Here is a 23,950-nt window from a genome sequence, read left to right as displayed (position 1 = left end):
CGGCAGTGGGCCTGAAAAGTACTGGCCCCACCCCTTTCCTTCTCTTCGTAAGATATGGGACTTAATTTTTGTTGAGGGCTGTAACAATCAAGTAGCTATATGAATTGCCAATGACCCTGACCAGAGTTGGGCAAAGATAGGCTTCTTAAAAATGTTTATACATTGTCAAGAAAAATAGATACAGCAAAATAGATAAATGGTCAAGAAAAACAGATACAGCAAGGGGAAAGATACAAACTAGGGTAAGGCTACCTGAGGAAGAAAAGTGAAAAGTGGACAGGCACGGTGGCTCATGCCTATAATGCCAGCATTTCGGAAGGCCAATGCGGGAAGATCACTTAAGCCCAGGAGTTCAAGACCAGCTCGGGCAACATAGTGAGACCCCATCTCTACAAAATAATTTAAAAATTAGCCAGGAGTGGTGATGTGTGTCGATAGTCCCAGCTACTCGGGAGGCTGAGGTGGGAGGATCACTTGAGCCCAGGAGGTTGAGGCTGCAGTGAACTATGATTTCACCATCACACTCCAGCCTGGGTGACAGAGGCAGACTCTGTCCAAAAAAAAAAAAAGTGAAAAGAAAGCAAGCCCAGACTCTAACATTAAATTAACAAACATATGCCATCTTGTCCCTTTAAAAGTTATAATAATTTCTTGCACAGATGTATTATGATGCCTGACATTGGAATTGATTTTTTTTTTTAACCACACAAAGGGACCATTTAAGACACACTAAATGTAGCTACATCTTATTGGAATTCGAATTTGGCAGAATCGGATACTCAAGGAACAGACCAGCTTTGGAGTTAACTCCCCATTACCGAAGAAGCTGAGTTTGTACATGGCCTCAGTAGGTCCACAGAACAGCCATGCCTCTACCTATTTTTCTGCCACCAGCTCTGCTAGGAAAGAAGCTCAAAAGAAGTGCCGTCTCATGAAGTCCTGGTGTAGAAGACAAGACTTCAGACCTGATCCTGCCTCAGCTGTGGATTCTTGACGTGACCTCAAGCACGTCACCCTTCTGTGTCCCAGTTGCCTCATGAAAGTGGAGACTCCCTGGAGGCACTGGGCAAATTAACGTTGCAATGAGTGAAATGCTCTTTGAAACAGCAAAGCATTATAAACATGCTAAATATTATGATTGTTACCACCTGAGTCACAAACAATACTTCCTGCAACACCTAGGTTTTCTCTCCGAGAACTTCTTTGCTAAATAATGGCACTGCCCATTCCTTCTTGGTGCCAACAAAGAGACTGAATCAGAGGACACGATTGGTTGTCTACAAGGCTTTGCGTGCGGTAACTTTCCAAATGAAAAGCCTGACTATCTGGAGGAGAAGGGGCCCAAGGCAAGAGCTGAGTGTTACAGAACCTAGCCACGCCTTTCAGGCCTTTAAAAAATTCAGAACCAAACCCTAAAGAAGGCAGACTTTGAGCTGCTCAGGCTTCCCCCTCTCCTCCCTTTCACAAATATGGGAATTTGTATTTATAGTTATGTTACACTCAGGTATAAGCACTTAAGGTCCTGTACCTGGGGATGGGTGCCTGAAGTGGTCGATGGCGATCTATTAGGAGATCTCTGCGTTTTACCTCATTCCCGTGTGAACTGGATGAGAATTTCATATCCCCCACCCCACCGCCTCTTTCAGTAACTTTCACCTTTAGCACCTCCTCCGCTTCTGCATCCCAAGACTTAGAGGGAATTAAAAGTAGCTCTCATCAGAGAAAGATCAGAATGACCAGTAGGAATGTGATTATGGGTGAGGCTGACCAAAAAACTCTGTGGGTCTATAAATTTTAGAAACTTCCTCATGACTGTTGAAACAACTACACCCAACCTTTTGAGAGACCTGTCATCTCTCTAAGTCTGAATGATATAAAGAGCTTTATTAGTATATTCCAAATCTTTGCTCCAGAATCTTCCACAGGACTGACTAGGAGAAGTGTATGAGGCAGGTGGGTGGAGAGTTTGATGGCCTCTCTGTATTTGCATGCTGGCAGGAGTGGCTCTAGAAAAGTTAGTAGGTGCTGGAGAGAAGTTCATAAATGCCGGCATTTGGCCAGATTGGAGGCCACAGGCCTGGCAAGTAAACCAAGGGGTGTGTAGTGTTGGTGAGTGAGTGTTACTGTAGCCACATTCTGAGACTAATTCTATTACGATACTTTATAAAACATTGCCTCTACTGGGACTTTTTTGGGAAGAAGTTTTTTCATTTTCAAAATGTAAGTTGTAGGTGTTCTAAACCAAAAAAGAGTCTATGATTGAATGGGCTTGCTGTTATCCCAGAGCCATGTCGCTCAACCCTTTCCCCTTTAGAATGGGCTCTCTGATCCATGTCATGTAGTGGAGGCTGACTGCTTGGGTAGGAATGCTGGTCCTCCGCCTGAATTAGCTGGGGAAGTTCAGCTTCCTCATCTGTAAAGTAGAGATAATCATAAGATCCACTGCTCAGGGTTGTCCTGAGGATTCAACACAAAAACCCACCAAAGGTATTGGTTAACTCTTGGCCAGAATGAAAAAGATGAAGCACGTTCAAAGCTGGGGTGACCTTACTTCTAGGAGCATCAGCAAATCCTTACACACTGCATGTAGCCACTTCTTATTAGAATTCGAGTTTGGCAGAGTTGGATACTCAAGGAACAGATCAGCGTTGGAGTTAACTTCCCATTACTGAAGAGGCTGGGGTTGAGCTGGGGCTTGAACCCAGGTTAGGCTCTGAACAACTTAGGCTCTGGACAAGAACACTCCCGCTTCTGGTGCTACACCCCCCCAAATGCTAGTGGGGGTCCATAAACCAGACGCTGAGGACCGTCACCACCAAGCACAGAGTGAAGTAGGGGGGCCCTAATGCCTTCCTTTTGGCTCACCCACTTTCTGTGTTTGTGTAGTTATTGATTCCTATCAAGTGAGAAAATCCAGGGCAATGTTCTCAAGCTTTTGACCATTAAATAGTGGGAAATTTTTTGTTTTATCAGACTCCAATACTTGCCATGCTATCTTAGGGGAAAGTGATGTTATCACTGAGTTTCTGTGACTTTTGTCCCTGTTCTTTTGACAAACATTGATTCTGTTTGTTTTTTAACTGAAGATAATTTATCGTGGCTTCCTGAAAGGGTGGGATTGGTTCTGTTAAACCGTGAAAATACTGTAGGATTTGATGAAAACAGTAATTTGGTGGAGGGTAGGAGGCACAGATGGACAACAAGCCCCCTGGAGCTTTGTTTGAAGCAAACTCGTTGCTTAGGCAGTTCAGATCATTTAACCTTAGAAACAAGATGTGAGATTTTACTCAGAAGAAAAGCCTAGGCTGAGAAGAGCATCTAAAGCTTCCTATCACATAAATTACCCAACAGCTGATGAGTCAAGGGTAAGTGGCCTGGAACAGGATTGGGTGGAAATGCATTTATGGCAAAATCATTTTTGCCAAGTCCCAAACAGAAGATGAATAATTTGAGTTAGTTTACAGAAGCGAGTACAGGTCTGAACTTGCGTTTTCCAAGGGAAGATCCTCAAAGCCTGAGGTCAGTTTATCATTGTTACTGCCAGAGTTTCGCCTTTTATAAAATGCATTTAGACCTTGTGCTGGTCACCATCTTTTTGACATCTGTCCTTCAGATCCACAATATTATGTGACAATGCTGATTCCTTTGGTTGTCTCCTTACAGTGCGCCCGATTGGACACCATCATTTCTAAATACCCTGCAGCGAATGCATACACTATCCCATCGGATTTTATTTCCAAGAGAGACTTTAGTAATTCGTGTTCCAGCATGTTCCAGTTGCCAAGCTTTATGAAAGCTCTCAAGTTTGAAACTCCTGCACCAAACTATTACAATGTAAGAACTCTGCCTATGCTTGCTAAATACAGATCGAATTAATGGTTTACTAAAATAAAAGGAAGAGGGGATCTTGGGGACATCGTATTTTAATGCAGTTGTCAAGCCAGTTAGCATTTGTTGACTACCCAATGGGTGCCTAAGGCTGTACAAGACTCTTACAGGGAATTTGCAGACCCCAGAGATCAGGATGGGCAACATGGAGGCCAGTATCAAGCTGTGGGGAGGCCACTGCCCTGAGAAACACATATTCTAATTACTCTTGTCCTGTAACCTTTCTGGGACGTAGTTTTCTCATCTGTAACAATGGGTGTATTATTTACCACTTTGTCTGCAGCCACTAATGATTTACTTTTTAGGTTCTTCTAGGGAAAATAAACTTTCATATCAGAAAATAGGTGTTTTAACAGTCGTGCCCTGCTGTGCCAATTATGATCGCTTTGTATTCACTGACGCAGAATGGCATGGATGGTTAAGAGATGGACTCAGGAAGGTTTGGTTTAGCTCTCATCTGTTGCCACTTTCTAACTGTGCGGCCTTCGGCAAGTCCCTTAACCTTTCCAGGGCTTAGTTTACTGATCTGTAAAATGGTGATGTATGTTCACCTCATCGTGTTAATGCAAATATTAAATGAGATAATGTATGCTTCATGCCCAGGACAGCACCAGTCACACAAGGACCACACAATACATGGAGATTGGTAGGGCTGTCTTTGTTAGTACATGAAGGGTATTTACTTACCCTTAAATACAAGCAAGTAAGTAAGTCACAGCCCCCACTGTACAATGGAATCAATTCTACTTGCCCTACAGGGTTACCATAAGGCAACGAACGTGAAAGCACTCTGAAGTGCGCAAGATATGAATTGTACTTAAGACATTAATGTTATGCCATTTTCCAAACTATTTTGGTTTTATACATTTATTATACCATTTCCTTTTTTCCTTCATAATATTGATAATTAATAATTATTTTTCTGACTACAAAAATCCTGCCCACCTTCTATGATGGATTCAAGCTTTTTTTTGAGACGGAGTCTTGCTCTGTTGCCCAGGCTGGAGAGCAGTGGTGCAATCTGCAGGCTCCACCTCCTGGGTTCACACCATTCTCCTGCCTCAGCCTCCCAAGTTGCTGGGACTACAGGCACCCGCCACCACACCCGGCTAATTTTTTGTATTTTTAGTAGAGATGGGGTTTCACTGGGTTAGCCAGGATGGTCTCAATCTCCTGATCTCGTGATCCACCTGCCTCGGCCTCCCAAAGTGCTGGGATTACAGGCGGGAGCCACCGTGCCCGGCCTCATTTAAGATTTTCTAGTAGCCACATCTAAAAAGAAAAAGGGACAGATGAAGTTAATTTGAGTAATATAGTTTACCCAACAGATCCAAAATATTATCATTTCAACACTAATCAATATAAAAGTTATGAATTTTATATTTGAGGAAGACTATTTTCCTTGTAGTGAGTCTTTAAAATCCAGTATGTGTTTTATTCTTCCAGCACATTTTAATTTGGGCCAGCCACGTTTCCAGGGCCAATAGCCACATGCAACCTGTGGCTACTATACTGGGCAGTCCAACTCCAGGCAGTCTTCCCTCGGCATAATCAGAGCCTGAAAATGATGAGGAGGAGGAGGAGGAGGATGAAGCACTTCTCATGTACTAAGTGCTGGTCTAAGAGTTATGTATTAATCATATTTAATACTCACAAGTGAATCCATAAAGTGGATTATCTTGTTCCCAGTATAAAGAAGAGAAAGCTAAGGCTCAGAGAGGTGAAGGGACTTGCACAGTTACCCAGCTTGAAGGCATCATTTGCACTTCAGTGGGCACCAGTGGATGGCTGGGGTGGAAAGCTGGGGAATGATCAAAGTCACCTCATTCCAGCCCTGACAGGCTTCCCTCTGTGGATCCTGTTGCTCCTCTGTGCCAGGCTGGTGATACAGCTTAGATTCCAGTGGGGAATTCAGAAAAGAACAGGTAAACAAACAAAATAATTACAAACTGTGGTCAACTTTGAGGGACAGCTGGAGCTTGAGGGAGAATATGTGGGAGATATGGAGGTTGGCAGTACCAAGTCAGCCTTCTCTGACTTGGTGGTCAGAGAAGGCTCCGAGACTGAGACCCAAGGATTGAGGAAGAGCCAGGGTTGGAGAAAGAGCATGTGCCAAGGTCCTGGTATAGCAAGGAGCCCAGCCCACGAGGACCTTCAGGAAGGTTGAGTGGCTAGTGTAGGATGAGCAAGAGGAGAAGGGAGAAGGGGGCACCAGACAGACACCGGCCAATTCACACAGGGCCCTGAAGATCCCAGGAGGAAGTTCACATTTTGTTCTCTGGGTCCTAGGAAGCCCATGAGTGGGGCTGGAGGTATGGGGTGGTGTGATCTGATGCTTTTTTTTTAGATGGAGTCTTGCTCTGTCGCCCAGGCTGGAGTGCAGTGGCACGATCTTGGCTCACTGCAACCTCCGCCTCCCCAATTCAAGTAATTCTCCTGCCTCAGCTGGGATTACAGGCACATGCCACCATGCCCAACTAATTTTTGTATTTTTTTTTTTTTAGTAGAGATGGGGTTTCACCATGTTGGCCAGGCTTGTCTCAAACTCCTGACCTCGTAATCCATCCACCTCGGCCTCCCAAAGTGCTGGGATTACAGGCATGAGCCACAGCTTCCAGCCAATCTGACATATTTTTTAAAAAGTTCCTTCCAGCTGCTGTGTGGTGAATGGACTGCAGTGTGGGTTGGAGAGTGGGTTCTGGAAAACCAGCGAGGAGATTATTATGCTAACAGGAGAGATGGCAAGGTGTGATACAAGAAAGTGATCAGAAAGGGGCTTAGCCATTGCCCCTTTGTCAGTCCCAAGTGGGAACCAGGCTACTTGGGAGAAAAACACAGGCACCGACTGTCTGTGCGGATGCCCCTCTCTGCAGCCTCCCGGTTGTAGCTGAAGGATGCTGCCGTCAGTGTTTCATGCACCATTCTCCCCGAATCACTGTCTACTCCTTCACCCGGCTTCCTGTCTCCAATGCCCAGCACAGGTCCTGGGATGCAGTAAGCATCCAATCAATGTTTATGACATCAAAGGAATAACTTTCCAGTAGTATGCAGCTGTTAATCTAGAAAGGACCTCTTCCCAAGATAGAATTGTGTCCTTCTGCCAATAGATACATTTAGGCGCATGTTTTTTGTTCATTATTGTCTTAATATGACCCTGAAAATAATACACGCTCATCATAAAATATATTCAAGCCCTGTAGAAACCCATTAATTAGAAAGTGGAAGTCCCTTATAATTCTACTTCCCAAGGGAAACCACTGCATCAAAAACCAGGTGCAGGCCAGGCACAGTGGCTCACGCCTGTAATCCCAGCACTTTGGGAGGCCAAGGTGGACAGATCACCTGAGGTCAGGAGTTTGAGACCAGCCTGGCCAATATAGTGAAACCTCGCCTCTACTAAAAATACAAAAATAAGCCAGGCATGGTGGCACACACCTGTAATCCCAGCTACTCGGGAGGCTGAGGCAAGAGAATTGCTTGAACCTGGAAAGTGGAGGTTGCAGTGAGCCAAGATCACACTACTGCACTCCAGCCTAGGTGGCAGAGTGAGACCCCATCTCAAAACAAAACAAAAACCAGATGCAATTTCTTTCATATTCTCTCCTACCTCTGTCCCTCCACCAGTATTAGCATTATTCTGTACACAGCACACATGCATTTTCTTCTTAGATTTCTTTCCATGGCAATACAATAAATCTGCTTCAGTCTTTTTTAACCTGCTGAATATTTTCCTGGCCCCATGGGGAAATCTTCCAGCGACACACACTCAGCGTATACAAAAATGCTCCCTTTTTCAGTTGCTTTTCTGTCTGGGTGAAAAATAAAGCTGAAGTGCTGTTTTGTCTACAGGTGGCTTTTTTTCAGGCCAGGAGAACAATGGTTGAGTCAACTGGTGAGGAGTAGAAATGCAGTAATCCTGTTAGCCACACTGTGCTTTGAGGTCTGTCAAAGCCTTTCTCTGCCTTTGCTGCCACCATCCCTCACTTGTATATTCGAGTCCTCTTCCTTGGTAATGTGTTATTACCTTCTCTCCGGCAACCTGGCTCCTCTCCCCAACTCTCCGTGTCCAGTAATTAACCTGTCCCATCTGGTCTCTTTGTTTGCCCTCTCTGCATGCCGTCTAGCCATTAGGGCCCTGGGAAAAGCTAAATTCCTCCACCTTTGTAAACACAAAATCAAAATGCCATCTGCATTTCTCGAGAAACATTTTTTTTGACAAAGGAGTATCACAGCAAATCAAACCATCCTGGCCCCAGCAAATAGTTTCACTCATTCAGCAAATATCCCCAGCAATCACAGGTTTAATTTGTATTGCCTCTGTTCTCCAATGAATACAGGAGACCGCAAATTGGCATTTAAAATATTTATGATTCACGTGTAACAGAAGAATGATCTCAGGGTTTTTTTCCTATTATTTTTAGAGTTCTGAACACATCGCGCACTCTCAAATGTATTTCGTGAGTTGGCCAGAATTCTTAATTTCTGGTCAGTTCAGGAAAGTTGAGACAAGGGAATGCTTGCAAATGTGATCACAATCTTAAATGATACGACTTTCTTGTGTGCCCCAAATGCTGCATTTATAGAAGGGCTGTTTGAACAGTGAGCAATGCACCTAGGAATGAGGATGGGGATGGGTAGGACTACGTGTCCTGAAAACAGTAAAAATAGTAGAAAACCAGGTGCAGTGGCTCACGCCTGTAATCCCAACACTTTGGGAGGCCGAGGTGGGCAGATCATTTGAGTCTAGGAGTTCAAGACCAGCCTAGGCAACATGGTGAAACCCCATCTCTACAAAAAACACAAAAAATTAGCCAGGTGTGGTGGCGTGTGCCTGAAGTCCCTGCTATTCTGGAGACTGAGGTGGGATGATTGCTTAAGCCCGGGAGGCAGAGGTTGCAGTGAGCTGAGATGGCATCACTGCACTCCAGCCTGGGCAACACAGTGAGACTCAGTCTCCAAAAACAAACAAAAAAAAAGTAGCAACAATAATGAAGATAATTTGCGGGTGTAGCATTACACACTTAAAAAAAAACACTTTCCGGCTGGGCGCAGTGGCTCACGCCTGTAATCCCAGCACTTTGGGAGGCCGAGGCGGGCGGATCACGAGGTCAGGAGATCGAGGCCATCCTGGTTAACATGGTGAAACCCTGTCTCTACTAAAAATACAAAAAAATTAGCTGGGCGTGGTGGTAGGCACCTATAGTCCCAGCTACTCCGGAGGCTGAGGCAGGAGAATGGCGTGAACCCGGGAGGCAGAGCTTGCAGTGAGTGGAGATCTCGCCACTGCACTCCAGCCTGGGAGACAGAGCAAGACTCTGTCTCAGAAAAAAAAAAAAAAAAACAAAAAAAAAAAACACTTTCCTAGCGGTGATCTCTGCTGGGCCACCCCCACTCCCTGACAGAACTCCACAGCAAGTGGAGCTGACTGTCCAATCCGTTTTACAGATGAGAAAACTGGGTTTCAGAGAGGTTACAGAACTGATGCGGGGCCACACAGCCTGTCCTTAGCAGAAGTGAGCCTGGAAGCCACCCTGCAGCTAGCTGTGTGTTCTGTTCCTTGTTGAGTGACCAGCATTTTCCAGGGATCACAAACTCATAGACCACTTGAGCTGGGATGACAGGGAAGCCACAGCCAGTGTGACGTTTACAGCTCACATCTGTTCATTTGCTAAGAAGGACAGGTTTCGGTTTGATTTTTTTTACGTAGATTTGCCACTTGTCCAGGCATGATGACGAAGACAAAGAAAGGAAAGGTACTGAGTACATTGGGTGTATTTTCTCCCCCTAGGCCTCTGTCTCTTGCTGCAAGCAGAGAAACAACGTCTGTACTCGAGCCGGGTTTATGTCAAAAACCCAAAGAGGATCTTTCGCTTTTGCTGATAAAGGACCTCCCCCAGGTAAGCAGCTGCTTTGCACTGGCCTTGACCTAAGGGTTAAGTGTCCCAGATTTGATTTGCAGGGCACCTACTTCTTCACAGGGAGTCTTTGGAAGGATTTAGTCTTTGGGTGGGGAGGAGTAGCAGGCAGGTACTGAACAAAGAGGAGAGGTGAGAAGACAGCCAGCAATCCCCACCAGGAGGACAATGGCTGGCTCTGGAAATGGGCCTCCAAAGCAGCTTCCTGGCCTCCCCTTTTATGATCTGGCATACCTGCTCTGGGCAGCCAAGTGGAGAAGTGGCTTCTCACCTCAGAAATGTGCACATTCGTATACCCCAGCTGCCATTAGGGGCCACTGGGGAGGGGCAGGAGATACAGGGCATGACCATACATCCTGTTCCTTCAACACTGAGCTGCCACGTTCATTTTCTCCTATGCTAGAGGTGACTTCATCATCCAGTCATAAAACAGAGGAGGCAGCTCTGTTTCCGGAGCACCCACTCCACGGTGAGTGGTTTCCATGCAGTCTTGCAGGTCTGCCGTCATAGGTTCATCCACTTAGCCCTACTTTTCAGATGAGGAAGTGGAGGCTCAGAGAGTTGAAATGACTTGCCCAGTGTCACACAGCCAGTAAATGGCAGACACAAGCCCAGAGGGGTCTCACTAACGAGCCCACGTCCTCCATCATTCCATTGTCCCTTCTGGAACCTCCAAGATTCAGGAATACACAAGAGCTTTCCTGCAAGTGTTTCCCCTGCCGGCCTTGGGGAAGGGTGTTGCACCTCTCCTGTGCTCTCTGACCTCCAGTGCTGGAGCACTTATTATATTAGATTATCCCAAATAGGTCCCACAGACCACACCCCAACCCCAGAAGCCCTGGGCACCAGAGCTGCCCCAGGAACCTTGGGCCCCAGAAGCAGGAGGAGGAGCAGGGAAGGTTTGCTTCTGCAATCATGCCTCTTGCAGAGGGGTGTGGATAAAATTGTAGTGCATGTGAGATTTCAGCAAATCCAGATTAAAGTTGAAAAGATCAATCTGAAGCTGAATAACAAAACCAGCGCTAATTAGGAGGCTCAGCCCCAGTTCATGCTCTCCTGCCTTGCATCATCCATGGGCAAAACCCCACCTTGTCTATTTATACAGAAGAACAAAGCCAGCATCCCTGGGGTTGGCCAGAGTCCCTGCCAGTGAGCCCTGGGATGTGGGCACCTCCACAGTCTGCCCCTGCTCCTGCTCCCTCCCGGGGTGGGGGGATCCTGAGAAGCCCCCAGCCCCTTATAACACAGAACAGGAGGGGAAGTGTGGGTACTAGCATCTGTTAAGCTCCCCGTGGGTGCCAGGGGCCTTACATTCATTATCTCACTGAATGCTCCAAAGCCCCATGGAGCAGGTACTCACCACATAATCATGGGCTCAGAAAGTGTGAGCTCTTCTTCTTCTTTTATCCCCACTTCACAGGCAGAGGAGATAGAAAAGCAGGTGACAGGCCCAGTGTCCAACAGCTGGATTTTTTTGTTTTTGTTTTGTTTTGTTTTGTTTTTTTGGAGATGGAGTCTTGCTCTGTTACCCAGGCTGGAGTGCAGTGGCACGATCTCGGCTCACCGCAACCTCCGCCCCCCGGGTTCAAGTGATTCTCCTGCCTCAGCCTCCCAAGTAGCTGGGATTACAGGCATGCGCCGCCACGCCCGGCTAACTTTTGTATTTTTAGTAAAAACAGGATTTCACCATGTGGGCCAGGCTGGTCTCAAACTCCTGACCTCAAGTGATCCGTCTGCCTCGGCCTCCCAAAGTGCTGGGATTACAGGTGTGAGCAACCACGCCCAGCCCCACAGCTGGATTTTAATCCAGGCTCATCTAGTTCAATATCTGGTACCTTCAGCTCACCCTCCACCCCAGCTTCCTGGCGGCTGGCTCTCTCTGGTAGTGGCAGCATAAATGCCTTCTATTCCTTGCTTTTGCTTTTCATTGTTTTCTGTATTTTGTAATTCAAGTGTTGCTATAACCTTTTTAGTAGAAATATATATACAAAACAGAGAATATGAGAGATAGTTATCCAGTATTGTAAATGCTGCTGACATCTGCTTCTTTAAAAATTTAAGCATATACTGGGAACATTTTTTTTTTTTTTTTTGAGAGGGAGTCTCGCTCTGTTGCCCAGGCTGGAGAGCAACGGTGCAATCTCGGCTCACTGCAACCTTCGCCTCCTGGGTTCAAGTGATTCTCCTGCCTCAGCCTCCAGAACAGCTGAGAATACAGGTGCACACCACCACACCTGGCTAATTTTTTAAATATTTTTAGTAGAGATGGTGTCTCACCATATTGGTCAGGCTGGTCTCAAACTCCTGACCTCAAGTGTTCTGCCCACCTTGCCTTCCCAAAGTGCTGGGATTATAGGTGTGAGCCACCGTACCCGGCTGATACTGGGAACGTCTTTTCATGTTAGTAAAAATCCTTTCGGAACATCATTTTAAATAAATATATAGTATATTCTTATATGATAGTACCATAAATTAAGGAGCCAGTATTGTCTTATTGAAAATTGTGATTATTTTGAATTGATTGCTAATATGAATAGAGTGGTGGAGAACATCCATTCACAGGGCTACTGACAACTTAGGGGTGAGATCGCTTCCTCTTCACCCCAGTTTTGGTCATTCTCTTCTTCCTTAAAGCTTTGTACACAAATTCATTTTATTCTGTCACAGTTTCTTGAGACAGGGCATTGTGGTGTGGTGGGGAAGTGTGGGCTTTGGAGACAAGCAGACCAGTCTCTACATAGTGGTGCTCAACACATACATGTTAGCTGGGCATGATGGCTCACACCTGTAGTCCTAGCACTTTGGGAGGCTGAGGTGGGGGGATTGCTTGAGCTCACAAGTTCAACACCAGCCTGGGTAAAATAATGAGGCCTCATTTCTACAAAAAAAAAAAAGCTGGGCACAGTGGCTCACGCCTATAATCCCAGCACTTTGGGAGGCCGAGGCAGGCGGATCACGAGGTCAGGAGATCGAGACCATCCTGGCTAACATGGTGAAACCCCATCTCTACTAAAAATACAAAAAATTAGCCAGGCGTGGTGGTGGGCATCTGTAGTCCCAGCTACTTGGGAGGCTGAGGCAGGAGAATGGCGTGAACCTGGGAGGCAGAGCTTGCAGTGAGCTGAGATCACGCCACTGCACTCCAGCCTGGGCGACAGAGCGAGACTCTGTCTCAAAAAAAAAATTTTTTTTTTAATTTGCAGGGTGTGGTGGTACATACCTGTAGTCTCAGCTACTCGGGAGACTGAGATGGGAGGATCACTGAGCCCAGCAGGTCAAGGCTACAGTGAGCTGTGATTGTGATTGTGCCACTGCATTCCAGCCTGGACAAGAGAGCAAGACCCTATCTCAAAAAAAAAAAAAAAAGATAGTTGTTGATTGCATGATATTTACAAAGCATCCACTATGTGCTAGGAACTTAAAATATTATTCAACTGTCATAACAACTCTGTTGTCAGAAGAATTATTATTCTTAGTTTATAGAGAAGGAAAACTGGGCTCCAGCAAGGTGGAGAGATTTGTCTAAGTCCCTGGTTAGATGAATGTCCTTTGGCAAATTATTTAACAATCTCTGAGTCTCAGTTTCCCATGTGTAGAATGAAAGCAGTAATACTCATCTTGCCAGGCTAGTGCGAGAACTAAATCAGCTAAGTGTGTGCTTCCCGTGCCATCTGTTCTCTGCATGGTGAGGATTGTTTTTGGCTATCTCAGTCAGCCCTTCCACTTGGCCATCCTAGAGTGATGGTGCCTTGCAGCCATCAGGTGTGTTCTTAGGGGTAAGGTACTGCTTTTTATTTACTTGAGAAGAGTTCCTTATTCTGTCCTAAAATTTCTTTCTCCTTAGGGCATTATGATATCAACGAATCCCTTGTGAAGCAGTCGCCAAATACATTAATGTCTTGTTTTAAATCAAAAACCAACCGTGGATTAAAACTGACGTCAACAGGCCCGGGACCTGGTTATTACAACCCCAGTGATTGCACAAAAGTTCCAAAAAAGACTCTTTTCCCGTGAGTCCCAATCATTCTGGTCTTTCTTTTGAAAGGTGGTTGTGGGGAAGAAGCCCAACATAGAGAAAAGGATGGGGTGTCACTGCTTGGCAGAGCACAGTGCCGGGCCACTCTCTTCAGGGGCCCTTAGTCACACATAATGATGCTCAGTAAATGCCTGTTGAATGCCTGATACTTATTGAGCAACCACTGTGTGCCAGGAACTTAAAATTGTATTCAATTATTATTATAATCCTGTTGTAAGAATTGTTACTCTTACCCCATAGAGGAGGAAGCAAGGCTTCGGATTTGGCGGGACATTTGCCCAAGTCCACACAGCCAACTTGAGGAGCCACAGGGAATTGGCTCAGGACTAAGTCTTTCCTCATTCCCTGTGATGCTGGATTCCCCTGGTGCTGACATTGTTCTATTTTTGTAACATAAAATCTTCGCTGGAGTGGCAGGACATTCAGAAGCAGTCAAGCTCTCATAGCTTTATACCGATGGAAGTTTAAGCCCTGACTTTCGAGTTGGTGATACCTGCTGGATTTGTACTTCAGCTCTGCTGTTTTTATGCTCTGTGACCTTGGGCAGAGTTCTAACCTCTCTGAGCCTCCATGCCCTCATCTGTAAGGTGGGAATAATTCCTGCCTCGTAGGATTTTGCTTTCAGAATTAAAAATACATGTTTGGCTGGGCGCAGCAGCTTGCGCCTGTAATCCCAGCACTTTGGGAGGCCGAGGTGGGCGAATCACTTGAGATCAGGTGTTCGAGACCAGTCTGGCCAACATGGTGAAACCCTGTCTCTACTAAAAATACAAAAATTATCCAGGCATGATGGTGCACGCCTGTAATCCTAGCTACTCGGGAGGCTGAGGCAGGAGAATCACTTGGACCTGTGAGGCCCAGATTGTGGTGAGCCGAGATTGCGCCACTGCACTCCAGCCTGGGTGACAGAGTGAGACCCTGTCTCAAAAAACAAAAAAAGTAAATAAAATATATGTTTGGCATTGGCATTGCAGCTGGTGACTCAAAATTAACACAGATTTTTAAAAGTAAATACAGGGATTTTTGTTACCCTGTTTAATATCCTACACATTTTATATTACTCTCACCTAAGAGGCTCAAATACTCACAGAGCTTATTTATTTCTCGAATGGTTCTAGAACTTCTGGAACTAACTGCAGTTAGGGTTAGTCCTCCTGTTACCATCTCAGCTCTCACCCATGCGTAGCCCCTCCAGACAGAGCTGGCCACTGGGAGGGCTGGCCAGGTGGGACCAACAATATATCCTCTTGGGCCCCTCCAGAGAGATCAGGCAGGTGTTAGGAGCCATAGCCACAGTGGGTCAGAAGTCCAGGCAACCCAGGGAGGCTGCCAACATTGGGCATAGTCTGATCATCAGCCTAGGGCAAGGGGACCACAGTTAGAGAGAGGTGCAAGTTGTGAATCTGCCAAGTCGAACTTAAGATCTGGAGAGGGGATTGAGACCTCAGCTGGAATCCACCAGAGGAGTCCCTTCTGCCCTCCAGGTCTAGGGCTCTGCAGGCTGGCCTTGTACAGGCTGTAGGGCTAGGGGCTGGGGCAGGCCAGTCTCCAGGAACAGCTCTGTCTCTGGAAAGTCTCTCTCCAGAGACCTCCCGCCTCCAGGCTGGCATGCGGCATCTCTACAAGTAACTATTCCCTTACTCTGCCAGAGAAAGAGTGGTCAAGAGGACAGGTGTTGGAGTTGGCCGACCAGAGTATGAATCCCAGCTCTGTACCTTCCAGAGACTTCTCCTCTCTGAGCCTCAGTTTTATGTTATTAAGTAGAGATAAGGATCTTATCTCGTAGGGATTCCATGAAGATTCGATGAGAAGATGTTGGAAAATAGCTATTACCGGTTGGGCATGGTGACTCACGCCTGTAATCCCAGCATTTTGGGAGCCCAAGGCAGATGGATCACTTGAGGCTAGGAGTTTGAGACCAGTCTGGCCAACATGGCAAAACCCCATCTCTACTAAAAATACAAAGCTGGGCGTGGTGGAGGGCGCCTGTAATCCCAGCTACTCAGGAGGCTGAGGCAGGAGAATTGCTTGAACCGGGGAGGTGGAGGTTGCAGTGAGCCGAGATCATGCCACTGCACTCCAGCCTGGGTGACAGAGCAAGACTTGGTCTCAAAAAGAAAGAAAATAGCTATTACCCTTATAATGATAGCTGTGGTTATTGTATATCCTATAGACCTACTAGGCTATATTATACAATACAGCTGTTATTTGGCATGGCAGCTCAAGCCCCCAGCCCAAATTTGGAAGCTTCTTCAAGGAAAATGGTGAAATAACATAAGAGTGGAGGATGCTCAATTTTTAACTGCTTTATCTGGAGAAATATCTTCTGGCTTTTGCTCAAGTTTGAACAGGTGGTTTGAGATCGTTCTTATTTTATGGCGTTTGCATTTGTCAGTCAGCAGACTCTATAGATTTCTAGTTCTGTACTGGAGGCTCAGGTGAACAGGACACCACGCCTCCAGCCAACCTCATCTGGGAACAGCCTCGAAGCCAGGTGGAGGAGCCTGCAGCAAAATGCCGGGTTAGGTGGCCCCAGGGGTGTATGGCCATGTACAACCCATGGGGCCGTCTTCCCACTGGGCAGTGCAGCGGGACTGCGTGTCTGGGGCTTCTAGGGCTCGCTGGCTCTCTGTCAATGCTTCACAAATAAAAGGTCTTTGGTTAATAAGTCTGAGAAGCACTGCATCGTAACCCTCTGCCCCTGAGAACATCGCAGTCTGCACAGGCATCTTAAAGGCTCTGAGAAGGCCTGCAGTAAAGGAACCTATTAACCCGCTGTCTCCTAAACTTGGGTTCACCCTGATGAGGGGATGGTGCCCCAGGCTCTATAGCACGACATTTGTATAGCTGGCTCTGTGGTCTGGGGCTGCTCTGGGCACCTCTCTGGGTCTTCATTTCTCTATAAGCGAAAGAAGGGTGTCTGCATTTCTGACACATCAGAATCCCAGGTTTGCTCACCATGGACTCAGGAGAGCACACAGGGGACAACGAACGTGGAGCCAGCCTGGACCCACAGAGGAGGTCCAGATTATGTATTTTAAAATTAACGTGGGAAAGATGAAGCTAAGAAATTTATCATTTTATTTGGAAAGCAAGAAGATAAGACTGGTAGGCTTTGGACTATTCTAAAAAAAACATTTATCTGTTCCCGATGAATGATGAAGAAAATGATGTAATGAAAAGAAAAGACAGCTGAATATCAGAGTGTTGAGGAAATATCCAAAATCCAGTTTCTCAAATTCCAGTTCTGTTTTCTCCTGTGTCCCTGGAGGGAAGAGAGGGACAGGAGCTACACGGGTTCCTGAGGTCAGTAGACCCCTGAGGTGACCCCATCTGCATGCACCTTCCCTTAGGACTTTGTCCACATCAGAACTAATCCTCTTTAGCTCTCCACGGCTACGTGGAGCGGCGGTGACTTGCCGCCATGTTTCTTTCTCGGGAACACACGCGTGCCATGCAGGGGGAGACCTGCCCTCATCTGTCTTGGGTTGGAGTTGATGGGCTTCCCATTCTTGGGCAGAGTTACAGCTACAGAAATGCTTTTCTGGATCTGCTTTCTTCAGGGTGCAGGAAGCATCAGTGCAGATATGAATTCTCCCTGGAGTTTTTAGTCTCATGTTACTGGCCAAAAAATGTAAAGCCCAGCCGTGAGAGGATGGCTGGATATGACCAAAGCTCAGGAGGCCACCATTAGGGCAGGGAACGGCTGATCACGTCCCCTGAAGAGGCCATGGAGGCAGCGTGGGCAGTGGATTGATTAGCGTAGGCCCCAAAGTCAGTACCATGGAACCTCCACTTTCCCTGCTCACCAGCCCTGTGGGCCTGGGGGAAGGGAGGTCACTTAACTCCCAGTGGGTTCAAAGTCATCCTTGGTGAACCAGGATAAGAACACCTCATAATGTGGTTGTAAGGATAAAAGGAGATAACCCACAAAATTCACATGGTAACTTGTATTTTTATCAAAGCAGGTGAGCGGGTCCTCTGTGTCTTCCTAGGGTTTCTAGTGTGGCCCCGCAGGGCGGATGCTGTGCTTGGGGCTGGCTGTTTGTTAGCACTGGCATTTCTGAGCTCCTTAGCTAAAGGTCATGCCATCGGGTGTTCCTTGGCCATGGCCACCTTGCTGACTCAAAGCTAAGAGGACTTCTCAGCTTCCAGGGTGTCTTCAGAAGCAAAGTGAAGTATCAGCCAAGGTTTCGCTTCTGAGGTCTTCAATATCCGTCACAGTGATGACTCAATCACTTAGGGTGAGTCAGGGTGAGAGTTTTGGAGATCAAAATAGTTCCTCCTAGGCAATGCCTTCCAACTCATGCTCCCCAGCAAGGAGGTGCAACACTCAGGGCCATTTTTCTAACCCTTGATCTGCTTCCTGGAGTTTTAAGCCACTGGATTTGCACAGACACGCTGTCTTGTCACAGCTAGAGCTGAAAAATCAAGCCCCGTTGGCCCCACTCCAATTTTGGTAATTAGATTGGACCCACCCTAACTTCCCCTGGGATTTTCAATTAGATATGGGATGCTTCTTCCCAAGCAGCTGTAATCTGTCACCCGCTACCCTGTTAAACAGATACTGCATTCCACCCCAGAGGCAATCGGCTGCCCTTTAATGATGAGAAAAATTGCCCCTTTATCCCTCCCAACCCTGGGAATCCCTGAGGCGAGTGAATGTGTGCCTGGGAGTGTCTGGAGGGTCTCAGATGCTTTCCCCAAGTGGCCTGCTGAGTCCTCTAAGACATTCATTATTCTTAGGTGATTTGCAAACAGCTCACATTGGAAGCTGCAAACACACTTAATCCAGTTGTGGCCAACTCAGAGCCTTTGATAGATGTTTTCTTTCCACGGGGCAGGGCCAGGTTGGCTTTTATAACTGAGCAATGAGGCTCATAAAAGCCCTGGTCACAATGCACTGTGGGCTGCCCTGGGTTTGATCCAGCCTGACCTTTGTGATTTGTCAGCCCCACCTCGACATGGAGGGACCAGCCCTGGATGAGGATGAAACTGTCATGTGGGCCTCAGATGCCTGGGCTCCTTTACATGCTGCCAGCCCTCTGCTTTTCTCTGCACTTCAGCAAATGTTCCCGGGATAGGGCTAGGGGCCTCAAAGCTGAGGAAGACACAATACCTTCCCTTAAAGAGCTAGGCAAGTAAAAGCCATAGAAAATGCAACATTTTAAATGCAAAGTAATAGCCAGAATGTATTCAGGGGCCACATACTCTGAGCTGAGAGCTCTCAGATGTGACCTGCCGTCGTCCTTCCACCTCTCCTCCAGGTGGGTGTGTCATTCCGAGTTTACAGTGAAGTGCAGGCTGTTGACGGTGGTGGGGCTGGGATTTGAATCCAGGTCCCTCTGCCTCCAAAATCCATCTCCAAAACCCATGTTCCTCACTTGAGTCACAGGATGGGAACATTCAAGACAGTCAGGTGGGGGGTGGCGAGACAGGCGTGGGTGGAGGAGAGAAGTTTCCCTGGAAGAAAGTGAGAACGTCAAGAATTGAATTCGAGTTTGCAGGGAAAGTTGGTGTTTCTCACAGAAGGAACAGCAGGGACAAAGGCATGGAGTTGCTGAACTGTGTTGTGTTGGGTGTTTCTGGAAGGTAAAACGGAAGCAGCAGGACATGGGAGATTAGGCTGGATTGAGAGGCCATAAATAGATCTTGCCTTTAAGTTTTCATCAGGGTTTGTAAGTGGGGAGTATCAGAAGCAAGTGAACAACCCAGGAAATCACTGGTGAATGGAGGGTTGAAGGCAGTCTAGGTGCTCAGCGTCTGTCTCCTTGTGTCCCAATTCCTGCCATAACAGCTACAGCTTTCCCCATTCCATGCTTTTGCTCCTGCTGTTCCCTCTGCTGGAAATGCTCTTCCCCACCTGAAGATTTTCTGGATTTCTGGATGGATTTCTGGATTCATCTTGTTGGAATTAATGTCCCTCTGTCTCTGTCTCTTTCTCTCTGCTTTCAATGCAGTTTTTTATTTTAACCTCTATTCGAACAGATTTCATGTTTTTAAACAAATGTTACAAGTAAAGCACAATCTTCCTAACAATCTGGGTAGTAGGTATTATTTCCACTGTTTTACAGATGAGGAAATTGAGGCTTAAGGAGGTTAAGAGCCTTTTCTAAGAACACATAGCTGTTGAACGGGGAAGTGGGGATTCAAACCCAGCTCTGTCTGAGTGCAAAGCCTGTACTGCCTGAAGTTGTCACCAGTCATGGCTGTTGCTGGCAGCGGATTGTCAAGCCCTTAAGGACACTCAAGTCCGTGTCTTAGTACAGAACTGCCTGGATTCCCAAGCATGCCTGGCCCAGAATCCCACACATGGCTGGTGCTCATGAAAGATCCATAGTGCTAGGCTGAAGGTTCTGAGCCTCTCCTGGGCATACTGAAGGAGTGGAAGACAAGAAACCTCTCTAACCCATCTTGCCAAGAACACTGGTGAGTCATTAACTCAGCGTGCTCCAGCCTTCTGCAGGCTGTCCTTGGCTAAGAAAGCAGACACCTCATGGTTTTCTCAAAGAACAGGGTGGGAATCTTGGGCTTGGAGTGACCCAGACCAGTGATGGGGTGACCTCATATAATGGTTGATTTGTTCCAGCTGTAATTTCCAGGAATCAAACCTGTCTCTCCATGATGCCAGCCACAAACTCATCAAATGTCTGGAGGTGTTTTGAAGGGGGAGCCACAAGCCAGAACAAGGAGAAGCCAGCTTTTATTTATAAGGGGAGAGGTTGTTGATTACACCCTGTAACCAGTTCTTCCATGCAGATTCATAGCAAACAGGGAGGCAGCATGTCCCCCCTTTCCCTGTGGGTACCTTTGTTCTAAATATAAGCATCCACGCCAGCTGCTCCTCCACCACAAGATGTGAGCCCAAGCACATTTATGATGGCTTTCAGTGTCCTCTCTGACCAGGGGGGTGTCCCCTGCCTCAGCATGACTCTGGGGTGGAAGGGCCCTGTCAGTCTTTTACGAGGCTCAGTTGCCTGTCTGTCACCAAGCAGCACACATTGATGCTGACACAGGGATCATCAGAAGAATAACAACTACCTTTATTGAGCACCTACTATGTGCTGGTGCTCTACTAGGTGCTTTACATACCTTTTCTCTGTTCATTGTAACTCCTTTATAAAGTTAGTGTCATTGTTCCTTGCAATGCTGTGTATACTGACGCTAAGCTATAGAGAAATCAGGGGCCTTGTCTTACAGCCAGTAAGTGGCATGACTAGAATTCAGCCTCAGGTTTGTGTGTGACCCTTAAACTCAGTCCCCTCCGCCATCATGCTTTCTCCATATTGCTAGGTGCCAAACACTTGAGTTCTATGCCAGCATTCCTACAAAGGTGCCTATAACTGGATCGGTTACTTTGTCTCTCCGGACACCAACATTTTTAGAAAACTAAGGAGGTTGAAGAAGACATCACTTGGGTCCCCTCAAGCTCTCTGTGTTTAAGAAGTTGTTGGCTAAAGTGCAGTAGTGCCCCAGTGGCCAGGAATCCCAAGTCCCCTCCTTTGCTTGGATGGGCTGGCTCCCTTGGTCATTGAGTGCTGGGGGAAGCTGGGGAAGGCTCCCTTGGCCATTCAGTGCGGAGAACCTCCTCTCCCCTTTTGGTGAGAAGCCTTTTAGAAGAAGCCTTGGGTGTGAGCCAGAAGGAGGCGGCCCTTCTATTACATGGTTGGGAGAGTAGCATGATTCCTGTAACAAGCGCAGAAGTCTCTGACAACCCAGTGGAACTTTGAATCAAGGCCTGATGAAAGGTCACAGCAGGAAGGGACCTCAGAGGTCATCTTGTCCAACCCCTTCCTTTTACAGATGGGGAAACTGAGGCCCAGAATGAGTTAGTGACCAAGCTAGGACTCAAGTACAGGTCCGGTCTTTCATTTCATGTCTCAATATCAGAGATAAAAGATAGACTCCCTTTCTGGAAGGAGGGGAAGACAGACTTGAAAACAATGGCGGTGTGAGTGGTAAAGGGTTATGCAGAGTCTCTTGATTTCCAGCCCGGTGCTTTTCCACTCCTGCCTCCTGCCTCCCCAGGATGATATTTAGTAGGATTCTGGAATGTCAATGTTACAGTGGCCTCTAAAGACCTGCTGGTCTTGGGATGGCAAATCTGTGGAATGTGGGATGCTTCTTTCTCTTCCCTGACCATGGCAGGCATCACAAGTGGGTCACTAAGGCCTCTTCCCATTGAGTCCATATGAGGCCTCAGTTTTTTTCACAGAACTCCAGCCAGGCACTACCAATCAATCAGAGTTGGCACATGAGATATACACGGCCTGCCATTTCTGGTTAGCTCCACATCTCCAGCAATGCACACTGAGCTCTCACTGTGTGCCAGGCCTATCCTGAGTACTGTGTTTTAGGTACGTCATCTCATTTATCCTGACAACCCTGACCTCAAAGTAGGTCCCATCATGATTGCCATGTGCAGATGAAGAAACAGATCCAGGGGTCCCCAGCTCACTACCAGTGGAGCTAGGGCTCTGCCCCAGTGCCGTGACCAGTCCTCTTCCAGACAGCTTGCTGCTGTGCAGGTCTTGGCTGTGTCTAGAAACTGTGCCTTCCCCACTAGACTGCCTTAGTGACATCTTCCCGTTTTATCTTTCCCAAAGGAAAAACCCCATCCTGAACTTCTCTGCTCAGCCTTCGCCTCTGCCTCCGAAGCCACCTTTCCCAGGTCCTGGTCAGTATGAGATCGTGGACTACTTAGGCCCCCGCAAGCATTTCATCTCTAGTGCATCATTCGTGTCCAATACCAGCCGGTGGACAGCGGCGCCGCCTCAGCCAGGCCTGCCTGGCCCAGGTCAGAGGATTGTTTTAAATGATTGTAAAAACCAAATCTTCTGGAACTGTTTGTCATTCTTGGGTCATCAAATGCCATTGATTTATAGGTTGTTTCCCAAATAGGTTACAGGGATGAGGGTAGATTTGGAAGCATTATCAGTTCACATTTTCACAGTACAAAAATGTTTTGTTTTTTAAGGTGAAAGGGCTCTTAGAGATGGTCCAGGCCAGGGATTCATACTGAGGACCATGAACATCTAAAAGATTCAAAGATAGTCTTGAAGGGGTCTGTGACTCTGCAGTTGGCTGAAGAATTGGCACATATAGACATTATTTTCTGGGAAAGGAGGCCATAGCTTTTGTCAGAGTGTCAGAAAAGTTCTTTTTCTTTATTATTATTAATTTTTTTTACTTTTATTTTTTTGAGACGGAGTCTCGCTGTATCGCCCAGGCTGGAGTGCAGTAGTGCGGTCTTGGCTCACAACTTCCGCCTCCCAGGTTCAGGCAATTCTCATGCCTCAGCCTCCCAAGTAGCTGGAATTACAGGTACATGCCACCACACCCAGCTACTTTTTGTATTTTTAGCAGAGACAGACAGGGGTTCGCTATGTTGGCTAGGCTGGTCTCGAACTCCTGACCTCAACTGGTCTGCCCGTCTTGGCCTCCCAGAGTGCTGGGATTACAGGCGTGAGCCACTGTGCCCAGCCAGAAAAGTTCTTTTTCTTAAAAATATTTAAACTACTGGTCTAGTGTGGCCAGGTTATTTTACAGCTGAGGAAGCCCTGGAGAGCAGGTGGGCCACAGGTCCGCAGCGAGTTCGTGGCGGGCAGTGCCAGGTGTTTCCCCATTTATGCCTTGTTTGTTCATGAAATTAACCAGGGACTGTCCAACGGAGCAGCTCTTTTGAACCTTCTAGCGCCACACTCTTTTTACAGGCAAGCATAAGTAGGGATCCCCTGTTACATCTGGGATCTACCTGGGAGCTAATATCATGAGGGACTCAGTCCAGTGGGCGGCCTCTGTGCTTCCTGACCTATTTGTAGCTCTCTATAGAGCGCTTTCGCTATTACCACAGCCTGACCATGGCCAAAGCTGGTGGCACTGGGGACTGACATGTGTGGCAGGTGGCATGGGAGGATGAAGGCAGAGCTGTGATGACTGCCAGCTTGGTTACACCCAGCCTTTCTGTGAGTGTTGACGATGCTCCCGTGCGAGGGAGCCAAGATGACCTGGGCCCCAGGTTTGCCCCCAGAGGCCACAGTCAGGTGGGGAGATGCCGTCAGCTCCATACTCACAGGTGAGACTAACATAAGGCAGACTGGGCCAGGAGAAG

The 23,950-nt window shown here is 47.1% G+C and overlaps 2 protein-coding genes across 7 annotated transcripts in view, besides 3 other annotated features; one reads left to right on the top strand and one right to left on the bottom strand.

The window, feature by feature from the left end:
- Nucleotides 1-23,950, top strand: part of STPG1 (sperm tail PG-rich repeat containing 1) — a 58,046-nt gene that overhangs the window by 31,558 nt on the left and 2,538 nt on the right. For all 6 annotated transcript variants that reach the window (XM_011542403.3, NM_001199012.2, XM_047433681.1 and 3 more), the window contains 4 exons: nt 3,664-3,834; nt 9,677-9,785; nt 13,648-13,813; nt 22,446-22,636. In XM_011542403.3, coding sequence (XP_011540705.2) covers nt 3,664-3,834; nt 9,677-9,785; nt 13,648-13,813; nt 22,446-22,636 — 637 coding nt within the window. The remainder of the gene's footprint in view (nt 1-3,663; nt 3,835-9,676; nt 9,786-13,647; nt 13,814-22,445; nt 22,637-23,950) is intronic.
- Nucleotides 17,471-18,670: an enhancer, noted in NCBI's record as "P300/CBP strongly-dependent group 1 enhancer chr1:24691307-24692506 (GRCh37/hg19 assembly coordinates)". NCBI's record gives its function as "activates an origin of replication core promoter dependent on BRD2, BRD4, P300/CBP, MED14 and CDK7 cofactors, with strong dependence on P300/CBP, by STARR-seq in HCT116 cells {active_cell/tissue: HCT116}" and the evidence as "EXISTENCE:reporter gene assay evidence [ECO:0000049][PMID:35650434]".
- Nucleotides 17,974-18,268: an enhancer, noted in NCBI's record as "tiled region #15224; K562 Activating DNase unmatched - State 4:PromP". NCBI's record gives its function as "activates a minimal TATA promoter and a strong SV40 promoter by Sharpr-MPRA in K562 cells {active_cell/tissue: K562}" and the evidence as "EXISTENCE:reporter gene assay evidence [ECO:0000049][PMID:27701403]".
- Nucleotides 18,160-18,209: an enhancer, noted in NCBI's record as "active region_397". NCBI's record gives its function as "activates an Ori minimal core promoter by ATAC-STARR-seq in GM12878 lymphoblastoid cells {active_cell/tissue: GM12878}" and the evidence as "EXISTENCE:reporter gene assay evidence [ECO:0000049][PMID:35858748]".
- Nucleotides 19,005-23,950, bottom strand: part of GRHL3 (grainyhead like transcription factor 3) — a 45,126-nt gene continuing 40,180 nt past the window's right edge. The window contains exon 16 of the mRNA NM_198174.3: nt 19,005-19,302. Within this exon, the coding sequence (NP_937817.3) occupies nt 19,116-19,302 (187 nt within the window). The 3' untranslated portion in view covers nt 19,005-19,115. The remainder of the gene's footprint in view (nt 19,303-23,950) is intronic.

This window comes from Homo sapiens, chromosome 1 (genome assembly GCF_000001405.40).
Source record: "Homo sapiens chromosome 1, GRCh38.p14 Primary Assembly".
Lineage (NCBI taxonomy): Eukaryota > Metazoa > Chordata > Mammalia > Primates > Hominidae > Homo > Homo sapiens.
This window is presented reverse-complemented; position numbering and strand designations above follow the sequence as displayed.